General features: G+C 35.3%; 1 long non-coding RNA gene across 1 annotated transcript in view, besides 1 other annotated feature; it reads left to right on the forward strand.

Annotated features, from left to right (window-relative positions):
* Positions 1-19,739, forward strand: part of LINC02267 (long intergenic non-protein coding RNA 2267) — a 507,713-nt gene that overhangs the window by 268,907 nt on the left and 219,067 nt on the right. The window contains exon 3 of the long non-coding RNA NR_147149.1: positions 2,120-2,185. This is a non-coding gene — a long non-coding RNA (long intergenic non-protein coding RNA 2267). The remainder of the gene's footprint in view (positions 1-2,119; positions 2,186-19,739) is intronic.
* Positions 12,296-12,496: a silencer, noted in NCBI's record as "peak5080 fragment used in MPRA reporter construct". NCBI's record gives its function as "represses an SCP1 promoter by STARR-seq MPRAs in K562 erythroleukemia cells {active_cell/tissue: K562}" and the evidence as "EXISTENCE:reporter gene assay evidence [ECO:0000049][PMID:32103011]".

The raw sequence follows: 19,739 nt of genomic DNA on the forward strand, positions 1-19,739 counted from the left end.
GATAGTTAGCTCTTCTTGTTGAATTGATCCCTTTACCATTATGTAATGGCCTTCTTTGTCTCTTTTGATCTTTGTTGGTTTAAAGTCTATTTTATCCGAAACTAGGATTGCAACCCCTGCCTTTTCTTGTTTTCCATTTGCTTGGTAGATCTTCCTGCATCCCTTTATTTTGAGCCTGTGTGTGTCTCTGCATGTGAGATGGGTTTCCTGAATACAGAACACTGATGGGTCTTGACTGTTTATCCAATTTGCCAGTCTGTGCCTTTTAATTAGAACATTTAGCCCATGTACATTTAAGGTTAGTATTGTTATGTGTGAATTTGTTCCCATCATTATGATGTTAGCTGTTTATTTTGCTCATTAGTTGATGCAGTTTCTTCCTAGCCTTGATGTTCTTTACAATTTGGCATGTTTTTGCAGTGGCTGGTAGCGGTTGTTCCTTTCCATGTTTAGTGCTTCCTTCAGGAGCTCTTTTAGGGCAGGCCTGGTGGTGACAAAATCTCTCAGCATTTGCTTGTCTGTAAAGGATTTTACTTTTCCTTCACTTATGAAGCTTAGTTTGGCTGGATATGAAATTCTGGGTTGAAAATTATTTTCTTTAAGAATGTTGAATGTTTCCAGTGAAATTTTAAGCAATTTAGCCTAGTGTTTATTTAAGTTGAATTGAAAAAGCAGGCTTTCCAATTGTTTATGTGATATACCTTAGAAGGGCAAAACATATTTATGTGAAAGTCTAGAAAAAAACTCATCACTCAAAATTAACAAGGTAATAGAACTGGGAATGTACATTTTAGTTTTTGACTTCATTTTAAGTCTTTATCTAACATGTAAACACTGCACAGAATAAATGTATTTTGTTATGAAGATAAAATTTGAGTCAGGATATTCAATAACTATTCTTAATTCTATTCATAAACCCAAATAGGATACTTAGAAAAATTGGCTGTGTTATGATGGATTCAAGCATCTTGAAATTATTACATGATTATGAAGTATGCAATGTTAATGCAGAGTACCCTGAATTAGACATAAACAGTCATGAACCACAGAACATTTCCATCAACAATGGACTGCATATGCAACTGTGATCCTATAAGATTATAATACTGTATTTTTACTGTACCTTTTCTATGGTCAGATATGCTTAGATACACAAATACTTGCCATGTGTTCAATTGCCTCCAGTATTCAGCATAGTAACATGCTGTATAGGTTTGTGGCCTAGGAGCAAAAGGCTATACCACAAGGCTTAGCTGTAGCTTAGGTGTATATTAGGCTATACCATCTATGTTTGTGTGAGTACACTCTATTATGTTCACACGATGACAAATGCCTCATGCTACAATTCTCAGAATGTGTCTTTATCATTAAGTGATGCATGACACTATTTTAATAGAACTTTCTGTGTCTATGTTAGAGTATTAATAAATTATTAATAGAATAGGTATTATGTTAAAGTAACTAATATAATGTGTGCCATTGGACAATTAACTATGCACATTCATTCCTAACTGTATGTGAGTGCTTTGAACATATTTTTTCACTTTTAGTTTCACTAAGAATTATCAAGTTTCTAATGTCAACAATGTTAAAAGATATTAAAATATTATGAGTTCATTTTGAAGGTTATGTCAAAAATATTGACTGTTATTTGGTAGATGGTCTGTCTCCAAGCATTCACTGTCTGATTTCTGAAGTCTGAACATTCATCTTCTTCTCTTTTCATTGTTAAATATTAATCTTTAGAGTTAGACTTATCTGCCACTTCCCCAAAGAGCTTCCAAGACTCCTCATATCAGCATGCATGTCCCTACCATATTTTAGACAACATCCTGTACTTCTCCTTCACAAACCTGATCATGCTCCTGATGACTATTTCCCCTGACTTGCCCTTCCTCACTTCCCAAATATGCCAAATCACATCAAATTTAGCACATTTTTACTAACAAATGAAAACCAACATTTTAAATTATCTGTTCATCATATTTTATTATGTTTTTAAAAGACTACCTGCAGTTGGAAATATTTAAGTCACTGATGACTTAAATTTCTATACATTTCTCTTTAGAGATGGAATAAGGCAACACAAAGTAAGGGTGTATTTTCTTTCTGATCACAGCATGAAAATAGCCTGCTGAAAGAATTCACTTTGAAAATGCCACAAAACAGACAATGGAAAAATGAGGTAAGTTCTCATTTTTCAGACTTCTGCATAAAAGCTTTTAAACTCATTGACAGCAGCAATATCTTTCATTTCCCCTTTCTAAGAGTAAAGCACCATTTCTAAGTAAACAAGCCTTCACAGAACTCATATGTCTAAGTGTATTTGATAGATAAATGAATAACATCAAAACTAATTCTCTGCTTAATGGATGTACAACTTTTCTAGCATCTACTCATTTGTGTGTGAATGCACCATAAGTGTAGGTGGTCTTCCAGTCAGTTATACTTCAGCTGAGCATGACATGAGGAGTACACAACAAAACAGCCTCCTTGAGGACGCAGTAATGGAGAACAACAAGACAGATAATAATGAGGGATTAGAACACTGCCTCATAAATCTACAGTGATGCTGACAAGATTTCAGCTTTGAGAATGACCAACCTTTCTCTTACTCCTGAGGTGCAGTGAAAGATGGTAGGCTAATGGGCTTATTTTGCCAAAGCCATTGCCCAGGCAATTCATAATTTTTAAAAGAAAGGTTTCTATATTGTTTTATGTTGATCTATAAAATGATAGTGTTTTGGTCTTAATCCAATGTATCCAAACTATTCTCACTGGATTTGGATAAATTATAAAATAATAATTTTAGCTAGTAATTTGCAGAAATTGTTACTACTACACTGGGAATTGACATCACTCTTTATAAGAGTTTGGTCACAATTAGGCTAACTCTTCAGTTCAGGGAAAACTTATCAATATACTTACAACCCAAAGTACACATATAAATAAATGAATTTATGTTTAAAAAACAATTGTAGCTAATTACAAACAGAGTTCTAAACCTGAATTTGATTGTCCAAGGTAAGGAAAATTTGACAAGTAGTCAGTGTTTTACAGACTATGCTATTAACCTAAGCATTGCATCTGGTTAATTTATACAACTATGATGTTGATTTGCCAGTCATCCAGCTAATTTTGATCAATGATATATTAAAATAAATATGGTAGAAAACAGCCAAAGTCAAACAATTGAGTAATGACACTGGAAAGTATTCATGGATTCTAGACTGCTTTTTGAATAAATAGTAAGCAAAATTAAGACATGAGAAATTATTTTATTTTAATACTTTAACTGAACAAAAGGTTTCAAGCTTTGAGTTGACTAAAAATGTCTAATCTCAAGTTATTCATAAAGAACTGACCATAAATCCATAGAGACAGAAAGTAGATCGGTGGTGATGTGGGGCCACATGTGGGACTTAGAAGTGAATATATATGGGCACAATGTTTGTTTTTTAGGGTGTTGGAGGTATCTAAAATTAGATTTTGGTATTGTTTACACCACTCTGTTAATGTACTGAAAATCATTGAATTGTGTATTTAAAATGAATAGATATTTTGATGAAGTTAACAGAAGAAATCACAGCATTCTACTAAAGGCATGTTGTCATATAAGGGATGTTTGTGGGCCTTGAGCTCTTCTAATAGCAGGCATTACTTTTCAGGCTCACAGTTGGTGGAGGTTTTCTGTGAATTGACAGGGATTGACAGGTTAATATAGAGAGGATTTGAATGAGAACCCTTATTCCTTAGCATGCTTAAAGAGCAGTGAGCAACATATTACCTCATTTTTAAATAGGTGTTGGAAAGACTTTCGTTGATCTGCTACTGAAAATGATGCCAAAATATTGAGATTTTATAAATCTCCATACTAATTTAAACTAGGCTGCCAAAAAGCATCAATGATGCATATTCACAAATGTATACCATATTTTCAAGCAATTGAAAGCATATCTGAGCCAAAAAGTTTATCAGGATTATATATGAATCCTTAATATGTAATTAAAATTAAAATAGCATATTATAACTTATCCTTTCAGGAACTTTATAAATATTTTTACATAATTGATATTTACAAGAAAGGTATTGACTATTAAATTTTAAGGCAGCTGATGGAAGTTTAAATGTGTGATTAGAAATTCCTGCTTTAATGTAAATAGCATATTTAGGAATGTGTTGAATTCTCAGTACATACAATACTATTTTTTCCTTAGTAGTGTTATGTTTTATTAAACACACACGTAGACACATGTGCGTGCACACACACACACACACACACACACCGCTTATAAATCCAGTGGTACACAAGGCCTTATAAGGAAAAGCAAAGGTTACATTGCTCCACTGCTCCTTGTCCCACCCCTAATACTTCAAAACAAAAATTTCTGTCTCTTTTATTCTGTTGGTTACTTTCACATCACTACATTAGATAATTATAATACTGAATATAAATTCATTAACTGTGAATATTACCTACTGACTTTTGCCATGATAAGTGAGGACTTAGCATTTTAAGACTGCGGGAACATTAGCCCTGTTCGTTTTTTAACTTCATTGTTTTCATTATTGTGTACTACTATTTTTAATAGGATCTTGGGAGGAAGAGGGAAAAATCGCATATTATCAGTCTGATTAAAATGGAATCTGAAGTTCAAGTGCTTTTTAATAATGGCTTGTAAATTTCAGTCTGCCCTATATTTAACCTGAGACCCTACTCAGGGACTCAGCACTCTTGGTGTCCCAGAAGGGCATTCTTCAATTAGGGTTGATTCTGGTTTTACCTCTTACTTGCTTAAACATAACTAGTCATAAATCTTACTGGTTTTTCCTCCTGTAAGCCTCTTAGATTTCCCCTTTTCAGGCTTATTTCACCTCATCTGCCTAGTTCAGGTTTGTATAATCTTTATAAAATGATACAAAAGTAAAACTAATTTTTCCCCAATGTTTCTAATAATACCTTCGTGTCATAGATATCCTTTATTTGAATATACTGTGTCAAATAATATGAAAAAAATGACAATAACTAGATACTTCACAATATATTATTTATTGACTGACTTTAATTGAATAAACAGTTGAAATCAAACAAGTGTGAACCATATACATAATGAATATCATATCAGATTGACACTGCATTCATAATACCAAAAATGTACACCACTCTCACAAACAAAAGTCTTATAGTTGTAGACTTTTCATTACCAGCAAAAGACGTCTCCATTTTGGCTCATATTGTTTGTTGTAATGACATGAAATGTCCCCTTCCATCTCTCAAGCTGAATGGGCTGTAACCGTGCCAAGGTCTGTACTTATTGATTAGTCACTTTCCAGTATATTAGGATGCACTAGAAAAATTTAGGACTAAAGAAAATCACACCTATAAAAGTCTTCAGAGAATGTTAGGCTGCATTTAAATACCACACATTCTCATATAAAATAAAATTGTAGATTTACATTTTCCTTTTCTTGTCTACCATATACAGTCAGTTTTCAAGACACTTTTGTGAGGGCATCAATAAATATCATTCAGTGAATAAACGAAGATGGCAAGAGAGGAAAAAAAGTACATAGTCTAAAAGTGGGCAGATTAGTTGTAAAGATGCATTCTTATTTCTGTTACATTTGCATACAAATTGATCTGGAAATCCATCCGCTGACTCCATTAATGAGGTCAAGAACAACATACAGACTTAATCACACCCTGCTACAGGTTTTTTTGGCTAACTGTCTCTGGGGATGAAAATTCCAAAGTATGACATCTTGCTTTCTATTGCATTTCCTTTCTTTGTAGAATAATTTCTACCATGAGATCATAATTAAATGTCATTTAGAAGTTCCCTCACTTTTTATTTTTCCTCCCTAACTATTGATGTGTGTCATCCTTGTCACTTTAATTGAACTTTGAGACTTAAATGACACGTGGTGGAATTTGGAATGACAGTATAACATTAATGCATTATTTCAGTCATTTGAGCAAAAATCTGAGTCTTTGAATTGGAATTCGTGCTAAGGAAATAGGAAGTATGAATACATTAAAATTTTCTCTTGCTTCTCTATCCCTATTGTTTCTATGCCATCATGTCATAGATACTCTTTATTTGAAGATACTGTGTCAAATCATATTCTGTAATATGACAATTAATAAAAAAATTCTATAATTTTCTTATTAGGTAAGGTTTTGAAATATTGCATTTTGTAGTTCAAACATTATTTAAGTACCTTAACACATATTTATATAATATGCAATGGAATTGAGTAAACAAAAAGTTTTGGTAAATGTTTCCCACACCATGTATATTAACTTTTTCTTTCAGACCCTAAGGCTTCTCTGTTAACCCCCATCAGGGTTTTATTTGCCATAAAATTGATAATAAAATTTGCTTTCTCCTCTAACAAGATTCTTTCTGTAGACATTACAGTGAATATTTGATAAACTGCCTTTAGCAGTCCTGATTATTCTCTAAACAAAGATGATGTTGTTTAATAAGATATGGAAGGCTAAATAAACACATGGTTAGTCAATTTTACATATGGCTGATTTCTCTCTATTCAAGTGCTATTTTATCATATTCTGTAAATATAAAGTTTATATACTGAAATTTGAACCAGCAGGAGGACATTACCTAAATCTGGTTTCCCATGAAAATCTAAGTACTATGCTTTAAGACTATTAAAATCAATTGTCAAAAGTGTTTAAAATTTATATGTATTCAAATCATGTTTCTAAATTTTTAACAGTAGAAAAGGATACGACTTTATTTCTTAATTAATTTATTGTTCCCTCAAATATTTTTATATTGAATTAGTAAAGAAAAATCAGGTATCACATTATCTATAATTATGATTCTATTAGAAATACTTGAAATCTATTTGAAGGAGAGTAGTCTTAATAACAGTGATGAAGATCTCATTAACACACTTCACACGCATCACCTATGTTTTCCATTCGGTGTTGTCCAACATCTTTACTAAATTCACAAGGCTAGAACTGCATTGAGAACTTTTTTTGGTCTGTTTTACATAGTGTTAGATAATAAAATATTATTGCTATTATAATAAAATATTACAATATATTTTATTAAATGTATATTATAATAAAATATTTATTGATGTGATAAGAGTTCCAGTTGTGAGTTACATTAAATCGTGTGTTACTAATATACAAACAAAAAACAGAAAATAAATAGGCACTTATGTAAGGCTACCCTGTGCCACAGCTGGTTCCCAATTAATGGACATGAATAGTCCACTATCATGATAGCCTTGAATTCTTCTATTTGAAGTTTAGCTATTATGTGAAAAAGACAAATTATAATCTGATTATGCTTTCAAAGTTTGATAAATCACAGTCATACCTGCAAGACAGGCAGAATGGGCATACAATACTGCTGCTTATGTGGATGGTGCCTCTTGGGGTTGTGCACTGCACAATGGACACAACCATGTGTGGCAGCCCTGAGTGTGATGACATCATCTTTCTTGGGGAAAATTTTAATGGTTAGCCTCCTAGATCCTTCTGTACCTTATGCCTTTGCTCCAGGAGGCTGCCATTGATGCATGACCTTAGCAGGGTCCCATGCTCTCTAGCTTCCAAAGGAATGCATTAGCAACAATTGAGAGGACTGTGGTAGAGAAAGATTAGGGTGTTTATTCTACAGCTTTCTTCTTGTTGGGACACTGTTTTATCAGCCATTTTGTTATTTCTGTTGCTACAGCTAGAGTCATGCAGTCAAATTCTCTAGATCCTGGTAACACTTTTTCACTGCCTTGCACCTTCAATTTTAGTAGCATTAATACAAAAGCCAAAATTGACAAATGGGATCTAATTAAACTAAAGAGCTTCTGCACAGCAAAAGAAACTACCATCAGAGTGAACAGGCAACCTACAGAATGGGAGAAAATTTTTGCAATCTGCTCATCTGACAAAGGGCTAATATCCAGGATCTACAATGAACTCAAACAAATTTACAAGAAAAAAACAACGCCATCAAAAACTGGGCGAAGGATATGAACAGACACTTCTCAAAAGAAGACATTTATGCAGCCAACAGACATACAAAAAAATGCTCATCATCACTGGCCATCAGAGAAATGCAAATCAAAAACCACAATGAGATACCATCTCACACCAGTTAGAATGGCGATCATTAAAAAGTCAGGAAAAAACAGGTGCTGTAGAGGCTGTGGAGAAATAGGAACACTTTTACACTGTTGGTGGGACTGTAAACTAGTTCAACCATTGTGGAAGACAGTGTGGTGATTACTCAAGGAACTAGAACTAGAAATACCATTTGACCCAGCCATCCTATTACTGGGTATATACCCAAAGGATTATAAATCATGCTGCTATAAAGGCACATGCACACATATGTTTATTGCGGCACTATTTACAATAACAAAGACTTGGAACCAACCCAAATGTCCATCAATGATAGACTGGATTAAGAAAATGTGGCACATATACACCATGGAATAGTATGCAGCCATAAAAAAGGAAGCATTCATGTCCTTTGTAGGGACATGGATGAAGATGGAAACCATCATTCTCAGCAAACTATTGCAAGAACAAAAAACCAAACACCGCATGTTCTCACTCATAGGCGGGAATTGAACAATGAGAACACTTGGACACAGGAAGGGGAACATCACACACCGGGGCCTGTCGTGGGGTGGGGGGAGGGGGGAGGGAAAGCATTAGGAGATATACTCAATGTAAATGACAAGTTAATGGGTGCAGCACACCAACATGGCACATGTATACATATGTAACAAACCTGCACGTTGTGCACATGTACCCTAGAACTTAAAGTGCAATAAAAAAAATACTCCCTCCTGTTACATGTCATTTGGTGCTTTAATATATCTCGTTGGTGCTATCTATTCTCTACTATGACCTGAACTTATATATCTTATTTTAAACACAATATCTTGGTGAAATAGTTTTTATAGAGACATTTCTTTAGGAAATCATGTGATAAATAGATTCTTTGTTAAATATTTTATTATTTAAATGGATACTTCTATGGAAGGTGTGACTGCCAGATAAATTCTGAATCTAAGTTAGCAAGCACAACTATGTGTTCTCCACTGTCTCTTTCTGTGTCCCTGGTAGATACAGCTACCCAATCACTGATCCTTCCTGCTGAGTTAGGATATGACCTTAGAACTTTATCAACAAGGTGCTCCAGGCAGTCTCTACCAATCAAGTCAGAGATCTGCAACTTTTGAGACTGCCTTCACCCTAGCAATGTGACCTAAGTCCTTTTGTTTTTAAAGCCAGTACTCAGCCTCTTCAAAGGGAAAGCTGAGATCTGTTTTCATTCATCACTCCACAGAGAATAACCAACCTTAGCCTTCAAACTTCTTGTTCGACATCCTCTCTCATAACACATTATGCTTCCTGCATTTTACCCATTTACCCAAACCTTTTCCTTCACTAATCCCTCAATTTCTTCCTCAGAGCTATCTGGATCACTTTCTTCCTAACAAACACATCTCCTGTATCTCCAATCTAATTTGTGTTTATTCTACCTTTTGTTTTAAATGAGATGTGATCTTTCATTTTTTCCTGGAATTATCTCAAATCTTGCTCTCTCTCTCTCTGTCTATATATATACAGGGAGATAGATCTCTCCTCTCTCTCTCTCTCTCTCTCTCTATATATATATATATACACATATAGATAGATAGATAGATATAGATATATAGCAAGGATATGAGGATAAGAATATATACATGCCAGGTGTTGAGGATGTGTTCCTCTTATATTCACATAGTATCTACCAGATGTTCCGGATTATTCTTTTAGTCAGACTTGCCTAATGCAGCTCATGCCATGCACTTCAGCCATCTCTTCCCTTTCTGCTGATTGTCATCTGACTTTGCATCCTTTCTCTCATTTATTGAAAAGTTGAGCACTTTGATTATAGTCTTCTTTTCTACCCTAAACGTCAACATCCTGGATGACTTTAGTATCTACATATAAGAACTACCCTATGCCAGGCATTTTAAAGAGACAATACATGTTTGAGCCAAAGCTATGGACTGTGTAGTCTACCTGCCTTCCCATTTCTGAACCAGAAAGCTTCATTCACAACCCCCAAAGAAAGTTACTAAACTGTCAGTGTCTTAATTTTCTCATAAGTGAAACAAGGATAATTATAATTTCTGAATTTAAGATTGTCGAGAGAAATAAGTAAGTAGGGCTGGGCATGGTGGCTCACGGCTGTAATCCCAGCACTCTGGGAGGCTGAGGCGGGTGGATCACCAGAGGTCAGGAGTGTGAGACCAGCCTGGCCAACATGGTGAAACCTCGTCTCTACTAAAAATACAAAAATTAACCCAGCATAGTGGCAGGCACCTGTAATCCCAGCTACTCGGGAGGCTGAGGCAGGAGAATCGCTTGAACCCAGAAGGCGGAGGTTGCAGCAAGCCAAGATAGCCAAGATAGCGTCATTGCACTCCAGCCTGGGGGACAAGAGCAAAACTTCATCTCAAAAGAAAAAAAAAAAAGAAAGAAAGAAAGAAAGAAGTAGATAAAATGTACCAAAAACGAGTCTGGATCCTCATAGACTCTCAACAAACTTTATTCTTCCTATTATTAATTACTTTATCATCATTCATATCTCCACAGCAACCCACCCTTAAAGTCAGATCTTGAACTTGTCATCACCTCAAATTGATGAACCTATAAAAATCACCATCTCAACCTCCTTTCTTCCAGCTCACATGTTCAATGCCAGCCCTATGACTTCATTCACTTTTTTGGAGACTTTCAGTCACTGATATCAGTGACTGAATTCTCAGCAGATAGGCCTGTTCTTCTACACTAATCATACATGGATTAAGTTCTTAGGAGCATCATTTCAAGAACATGCTTGCCAATGTCTCAAGTTGTTTTATGCCTCTATCTTTTTCATCACACTTGCCTGGACAAAAATCATAGCTCTGAATGAAACCAAATAAAATGAACTCAGATGGAGCCAAATTTAGCCAGGGGTGTTCCCCAGAAGCTGAGAGTTGTTGAGTATGGTTATGAAAAAAGCAGATTCGCATTCTATTACAAAGATATATGCACACATATGTTCATTGCAGCACTATTGACAAGAGCAAAGACATGGAATCTACTCAAATCCCCATCAGTGATAGACTGGATAAAGAAAATGTGGTATGTATACACCACGGAATACTATGCAGCCATAACAAAGAATGAGATCATGTCGTTTGGAGGGACGTGGATGGAGCTGGAAGCCATTATCCTCAGCAAACTAAAAGTAGCAACCTGTTTGGAACTTCTAAAATCAAATCGTGATAGATTATAACTGTTAGTATTTTAGATTTTTAAAATTAGAGATCAATGTAAAAATGTAAAAGCTGTTCCTCAGCCAAATTTGAGATCATCTGCATAGATATCATAATGGAAGACAGTTATGGATGTATGGATGGGGAAGCTTACAAACTACATTTGTAAGACCGGAAAACTAAACACCACATGTTCTCACTTAAAGTGGGAGCTGAACAATGAGAACACATGGACACAGGAAGGGGAACAACACACACTGGGGGCCTGTAAGGGGTGGAGTGGGGAGAACGAGAGCATTGAGAAGAATAAGTAATGCATGCTGGGCTTAATACCTAGGTGACAGGTTTATAGGTGCAGCAAACCGCCATGGCACATGTTTACCTCTAACAAACCTGCACATCCTGCACATGTATCACGGCACTTAAAATACAAGTAAAAATTAATAATAAAAAAAGGAAAAAGCAGATTGGTTGAACCATTAGCTAATAATCACCAATTTCCACAAAGCCCTACAAATAGCTGTGCTTCCTAAAATATAAAAAAATAGAAATCCTATCACAAAATCCCTTCAAAACCTGTCCAAATTACTACCGTCTTTTTCTTCTTCCCTGCTGCTTCAAGGCAGGAGCAGCTCCTGGTGCCTCAGGCCAGTGCCTGTGGTGCTGCATGACCACCCACTATTCCTTCTCAGGGGCTTTACCCACCAAATATTTCTTTACTTTTCTTTTGCAGACTCTTCCTGTCCCCGGAGTCTTTCAATCAGTCTTTAAACATAATTTTTTTCTTGGATTTTACTACTTTTTCCACTTAGAATCCTCTATCACTCCTTTCCCACATAGCCAAATTGTCTGAGTTTTTAAATATTTGCCAGAAATTCATGTATATTTTGTACTGTGTTGCCAATGCATATTTTTGACAATGTTTATAGGCATATTCCTATTTTTTTATGTAAATAGGTTTTAACATGTTTAGAATATCTTCTTTGATCTTATTATTTCTCCTTCATCTCCCTAGCTATGCTAGGAAACTGGAAACATTTTCCACACGTCCCTTGCTTCATCCCTTATCAACAATCCATATTGCTGAGTGCTACTTCCCTTTTGAGGCAGTCTTCCTTTGCATAGATGATGTGACACTGTCCTGGTTTCTTCCCAAATATGTAACTTCTCAGTCACGTTATGTTTGCTGTCTTCTATTGGGCAGTACATTTTAGGAATCCCTGATGGCTATTATACACCCTCTTATTGACTTATGATATATTTTCTCAGTAAGCTTCCCCATCCATACATCCATAACTGTCTTCCATTATGATATCTATGCAGATGATCTCAAATTTGGCTGAGGAACAGATTTTACATTTTTACATTGATCTCTAATTTTAAAAATCTAAAATACTAACAGTTATAATCTATCACGATTTGATTTTAGAAGTTCCAAACAGGTTGCTACTTTTAAAAATAAACAGATTGTGTTTCAAAGGCAGCACACTCTGAAATTATATATTAATAAGGAATGAGTTAAGAGACACATTCTTTTGAAAATGAGAATAAAAATCTATGGACTCATGCAGAACTATTTGTTCCAAGACACGTTCAAAGATTATGAGAGGATGCTGATTTGCTATTCTCTAAAACAGTGGTATATGCACTTGCCTGAGTCATCGCATTGACTCCTTAAACAATTTATTCTTCCTTTTCAGTGTTATTTTTCACTAACAATACAAAGCAGAATCCTCAAGAATACAGACAAAGGTGATGCATATTTACTGTATGTGCTGGCTGTGGTTCAATGAAATAAAGTATTAGCAGGATGGGCAGAAAATATACTGCAATCACTATTTCAAAACAGTGGAAGTTTAAAGAGATATTTAAAGTTTAAAGTGATATTTAAAGATGATAGACGTAACTACAATTTCTCTTCGTGTTACTATCACTTTTTTATTTTACAAAAATGCTGAATTTATAGAAGGCACTATCTCTGTGGTGAGTGGTGAGAGGGGGGTCATCAACATTTTTTGGTCTGCCAGAAACCTGGTCTTCAGCAAAAGAAAAAAAAAGAGAGAGAGAAAAGAGAAAAAGACAATGTAAGCACAGTAATTTCTAACCTACAAATAATATTCTTCTTTCATTTGCAGTTGCCATCTGTTGTAAGAACTGAATTAGTCTTTCTTTCTTTCTTTCTCTTTCCTTTCTTTCATTTCTTTCTTTCTTTCTTTCTTTCTTTCTTTCTTTCTTTCTTTCTTTCTTTCTTTCTTTTCTTTTCTTTCTTTGTCTCCCTCTCTCTCTCTCTCTTTCTTTCTTTCTTTTTCTTTCTTTCTTTTTTTTTCTTGAGATGGAGTCTTGCTCTGTTGCCCAGGCTGGAGTGCAGTGGCACTATCTCGGCTCACTGCAACCTCTGCCTCCTAGGTTCAAAGGATTCTCCTGCCTCAGCTTCCGAGTAGTTGGGATTACAGGTGCACCACCATGCCCGACTACTTTTTGTATTTTTAGTAGAGACAGGGTTTCGCCATGTTGCCCAGGCTGCTCTTGAACTCCTGGCCTCATGTGATCTGCCCGCCTCGGCCTCCCAAATGCTGGGATTACAGGTGTGAACCACTGCACCAGGCCTCTTCTGTTAATTTCTAAAAGGATCTGACCATTTCCTGTGCCTGGGTTCAGGCTAATTTTGGCCTGCAGCCCAGACCTGCAACACATATCTTGTGAAAAAACTGTAACTAGTTTAATTGGCTCACAAAATACAAAGCCCTGCTGTCTTCTTTTCTGTGTCCACTGTGTACACAGTTAGCCCTATTCTGCTTCAATATTGATAGCCAGCTCTTGAATTCATGACCTTGCTGCTTACAGATAAGTTCTACAAACATGCTTCTCTCTCCATAGTCCCATTGCTTTGTTTAATCTTTCCAGTGTCAGCTTAAGTCACTACTCTGAGAAACCTTCCTTGAATTTTCATAAGTGGTTAGAAAACTCTCTGTCTCTCTCTCTCTTTGTTTTTCTCTCTCTTTGTTTCTCTCTCTCTCTCTCTTTCATAGTTCTGTCACCATATCTGGGGCCCTTTCTCAGGTACAGTTAATATGTACTCCAGTAGTGATCTCCTGCAGTTCTGTATTCACAGCAAATAACTTTGTCATTTAAAGGTTTAATTGTCAATTACTCCGTTGCAACTGCAAGTTCCATGAACTCAAAGCTCTGTTAGTTTCCTTATATTTAAGTCACCAGTGCCTATTCAATTTATATATTTGAGTAAGTTAAAGAAAAAAGGTGGGAAAAATAATAATTTCCTTTCAAAAAGAAATAGGCAAAAATTTACTTGTTTGGTGAAAAGAAACCTTTAATCATTTCAGCAGAGTTTACTAATGATATTACTTACTAATATCATTTCTAATAATAATTCGCAATGTAATGAGTACAATGTAAAGATTACAGATGCATTAAAATCTCAGAATTCATTGTCATATACCTCATCCATGTAAACAAAAACCACTTGTACCCCAAAAGCTATTGAAATACATATATTCAATATATGTTATATATTAATATATACATTCAATTTATATATAGAAAATATATATTCAATTTATTTTATATATTAAATATATATTCAATTTATTTTATATATTAAATATATATTCAATTTATTTTATATATAATAAATTATTCAATTTATTTTATGTATGCATGTATAGATACAAAATCACAGCAAAATAAAAAAAAATATATTAGACTACAACTCCAAAGACTCAAGACTTGAAATACACTGCAATTTTAATACTAATTAGTTGATTTTATGCCCCTGACTGATTCTCTAATTTTATTGAATTTCAATTTCCCATTTTAAAATTGAGCATGGTTGGAGTAAACTGGTGGTTAATGTTGTATTAGTTTCCTGAGGCCGCTGTAACAAATTACTAAAATCACTTTGGTTTAAAAGAACAGAAATGTATGATTTATAGTTCTGAAGACCAGAATTCCCAAATCAGTGTCTCTAGGCCAAAATCAAGGTGTCAGCAGGTGGCACGACCTCTGGGAGTGGGGAATCTGTTCTAGGCCTCTTCCAGCTTATGGTGGTTGTTGGCACTCCTTGTCTTTTGCCTGCATCACTCCAGTCTTCAAGATCAGCATCTCTAAATCTCTCTGCTCCATCTTCACATGACCTTCCCTAAATCAAGCCTCCTTCTAACTCTCTTTTTTATAAGGATACATGTGATGGCATGTAGGGTCTACCAGGATAATCTCCCCATCTCAGTATCCTTTACTTAATCACATCTTCAAAGAAACATTTTCCAGATGAGGTAACATTTACAAATTTCAGAGATTAAGGCATGATATTGGGGGAAGGGAGCATTTTTTAGCCTTTCACAGTAGGCGTATTTATTACTACTGCTGCTACTACTGCCATTGCTACTACTCATAGTATTGGAGGCCTCTCTCTACATGAAGTATTATAAGGACACCTTACATGTTAAACACATAAAGCAGAACTGCTTTGTTAGAAGCAAAGGTGTCACAGCCAATCTTTCGCTATCTTTCCCCTTCCATTGTCCTGGTTCTACCCTTCTCCACAGTTGATACTGAACCCCTATGGTACTTAAGAGTATGCAAATTACTTGATTGGATTATTTTTTAAAATTCTTCATAGAAACTAAGTTGATATAATATTCCAGTTGGCATAGCATATAATCATTTAATTTATAATAAAGTAATTAAAATATTCTGGAAATTAGCAATAATATTTTAAGTTTTCTAAGAAACCATATCTATTCAGATATAAAGAAATCAACTTACTAAGAACATCATTCTACAATAAGCATCTATTACTTGGGTGGGTTAATCTACAATAATACTATACAAGGCTGTGAAAAGTGCAGAATATTAAATGGATATAAATTATCCAATTAAAAGCATTAATATTGTGGTATTCAAGTTCTTATTTATTAGCAGGGAAATGCATATTTTAAGCTGTAGGCATTCATTCTGTTTATTAATTTGCAGATTTTCCCAGTTTGCTATTTACATTTATTTATGGAGACTGTTACTAAATTTGATGTGATAAATGTATAATGTTTATCTATTATTTTGCATCTAGTATTAAACCTAGGTAGGCCTTCAATTGCCAGCACTTGGCTTTCTCCCTATCAAGTAATAGACTTTCAAAAATGATGGCCAAATTAATGATTTTATTTCAAGATAGTCCTTATTATCTTCTAGTACATATATGGCATAATTTTATGACATTTGAAATTTTAATACATCTGAAATTTATTTTGCGACATATGTGGCAGGGACCCAACCTTATTTTTTTCCAAATAGAAAATGTTTCCTATATTATTTTCTAATTAACCACTGAAATCTCCAGTGATGTGACACATCTGCTGTATAATATTCTATATGTTTATATATAATCAGTTCTATTTATTAGTGCTGTGGACTTTCTACACTACTCCTTTTGTCTGTCCATTTATGAAGACAGCATACTCTTGCTTCAACGTTTTATTATGTGGGTGAATACTTTACTAACAATCTCAAAATTAAATGAATGAAAATACTATTGCAAAATTTTATTGTGAAGACTTAATGAAGAAAGTTTTACACATACAGATTTTCAATTATTTTTCTTCAAGTCTTTCTATGATATCCTTGTGACATAGCCTCTTATTTGAAATAACAAAGGTCTGAGTTCTTTATGACTCATCCCTCAATTTATAAAGTGTTCCTGCTGGATTTTAAGCTTGCTTTTTGACTTACTATGTGTTTAAGTAAAAGAGCACATAAATTATTAAATGTGAAGCAAGCAATCAATAATTATCTATCAAATTAGAAAGGAAATGTATCATAATTAAACTGAAGAAAATTTGATGCTACCTATATAAACAGGAACACTTCTTGCAGAATATAATTACCCAGCCTGCTGAGTAGCAAATAGTGTTCAAGCAATATTTGTTAAATACGTTAAATCACATTTTAATATTTAATATTTATCATGAAATCATATACTTATTGTTATGTCTTACATTTTTCTATCTGTATTTTCCACTTGGATTATGCCTGGCCCATGTTAGGAGCTCAGTAAATGTCAAGTACATGAATCTTCTGCAAAGACTGCACAAACAGGTTAACTAGAAACCTACAGTCAATGTGAGGATAGCCATGTGTCCCAGGAAGTCACCATGAACCATTGGCTTTGCCTAATGAGAAAGATATTTTAGATAGAGTGCAGGAAAAAGCATTCTCTTCTGACAAAAATTCACTTTGTTCTAATTGTGCTCTGTATTTATAGGAGACAGGAAAATGCAATGGTGAGATCTAGAAAGTAATTGCAGTAGCAGTTTTAGAGATTATACTCTGGAAGAAGTGAAAAATTTATTTTTCAAAATATGAATGAAAAAATTCTTCAAAAATTTTGTTCTTAATATAACCCACAAGTGAGAGCTTTTAAAAGTAGAAATGTTAGGGGCCGGGCGCGGTGGCTCACGCCTGTAATACCAGCACTTTGGGAGGCCAAGGCAGGCAGATCACGAGGTCAGGAGATGGAGACCATCCTGGCTAACATGGTGAAACATCGTCTCTACTAAAAAAATACAAAAAATTAGCGGGGTCTGGTGGCGGTCCCCTGTAGTCCCAGCTACTTGGGAGGCTGAGGCAGGAGAATGGCGTGAACCCTGGGGGTGGAGTTTGCAGTGAGCCGAGATCGCGCCACTGCTCCCCAGCCTGGGCGACACAGTGAAGACTCCGTCTCAAAAAAATAAATAAATAGATAAAAAGTATAAATATCTGTTATAATTATAATGGTCTGGAATGCATTGACACATGGGGATAACATGGGAGAGCAGCAGGATCTTACCGCATACACTATAACTTTTAAGTAAGTTGAAGAGTTAAACTATGAAATCAATACACAATGATCAAGATTAGAAAGATAAAAAGCCTTGCCTATCAAAAGAAAGGACAATCCTTGACCATGGTTGAATTGACCAGGTCAGAGGAAGCCTTGCTTCCACTTTGGCATCTTGGAGGGCTCAGTCTGCAGAAGCTCTTTTTGGGATGCTGCCTCACAGAACCCAGTCGCCGTGCTGTGAAACTCATGAAAAGGCCTTATGTATTTGCTCTCATTGGCAGATCCAGCTCTTTCAGCCTTTAAGTGATCCCCATATTCCAGTTATGTAATTGAAGAAACCCGTGAATAATTGCAGACTCTAAACTTTCTAGTCAAAGCCAGATGCTGAGTCTTTTTAAAGCGAAGCCTCTGATGCAGAAAAGCAGAGACGAGCCATATCGGTAATGTTCTGTATGGATTCCTGACCTCAAGAATCCATAGGTATAACAAATAGTTATTGTTTCGCTAAACATATTTATCGAAATAGGTGTTTCTCGTTTAATGGAAATAAGCTTAGTGTTGTTTCTTCTGCAGCTATAGATAACCAAAATAGATAATAATAACAACAATAGCAAATGTGAAATAAAAATAGAGTCCTAAGCCCCCCAGACAGAATTAAAGGACTCTTTGTGGCAGAAAAGACCCCCCCAAAACCTAGAAAAATGAAATTTCCCAGCTTTGATAAGGTAAGAGGTCAGTCCCATCTCAACACTCCCCTACCTCAACAACCATTTCAGGACTGTGTTTTCTACTATTAAACAGAAACTAGTTCCTGAAAAACAGTGTCTGGAAGATTTCTCCACACACCACCTGATGCCGGGGCCGACCTCCCCTCCCTTCTCACAGTTTTGCTGTGACAGCTGACAAGCCTCACAAGGCATTCCACCCTGATAGCTGACCGCCAAGCACAGGCTGGTTCTGGCCAGTCCACGGAGGCTGCGTGCAAGATGCCTTTGTGTCCTGTTATTCACCTTTTGACACAAAGAGCCAAGTTTCACTTTATTTTAATGTTAAATTTGTACTCTAAAATAAATATGGGACGTAGAAATCATGAAGGTTTATACACTCATCATATGTTTGGTTTCTCTCTCAAATATTCAAAGATTCTCTCATAATCTGCTGAATAGGTATGTATAGCTAACTCCATTGGGTGTAAATCCTAGGCTTCCTCCTTTTGTCTCAAAAGCCTCTGCTTTAGGTTTTGGCCAGAGGCTTCATTTTTCAACCTACAGGTTGTAACCGTTTATAGGAAATAAAGCTCTCCTTTTTCTTCCTCCAAAGATCTCATGGTTTTTTTGTTTAAAAAAAGTATTCTTTTGTGCTTACTATGTGTCAAACACTGTTCTAGTTGTGTTAGTTAAAAAACTTCAATCCTCAAAACATAGGTAGGCAGTCATGAAGTCATTCAAGGTCTGTAGTTGAAAGTTCTGTTGCTGAGACTTCTTATTTTAAAGTGAAAGCCTACCAAGAACATGCAATCCTCATCCTGAATTTAAAATTGAGGACACTAAGGCACAAGGAGACTAATTTGACCAAGGTACTGAGCCAATACATTGTTTTAAAG

The sequence above is a fragment of the Homo sapiens genome, chromosome 4, assembly GCF_000001405.40.
Source record: "Homo sapiens chromosome 4, GRCh38.p14 Primary Assembly".
Lineage (NCBI taxonomy): Eukaryota > Metazoa > Chordata > Mammalia > Primates > Hominidae > Homo > Homo sapiens.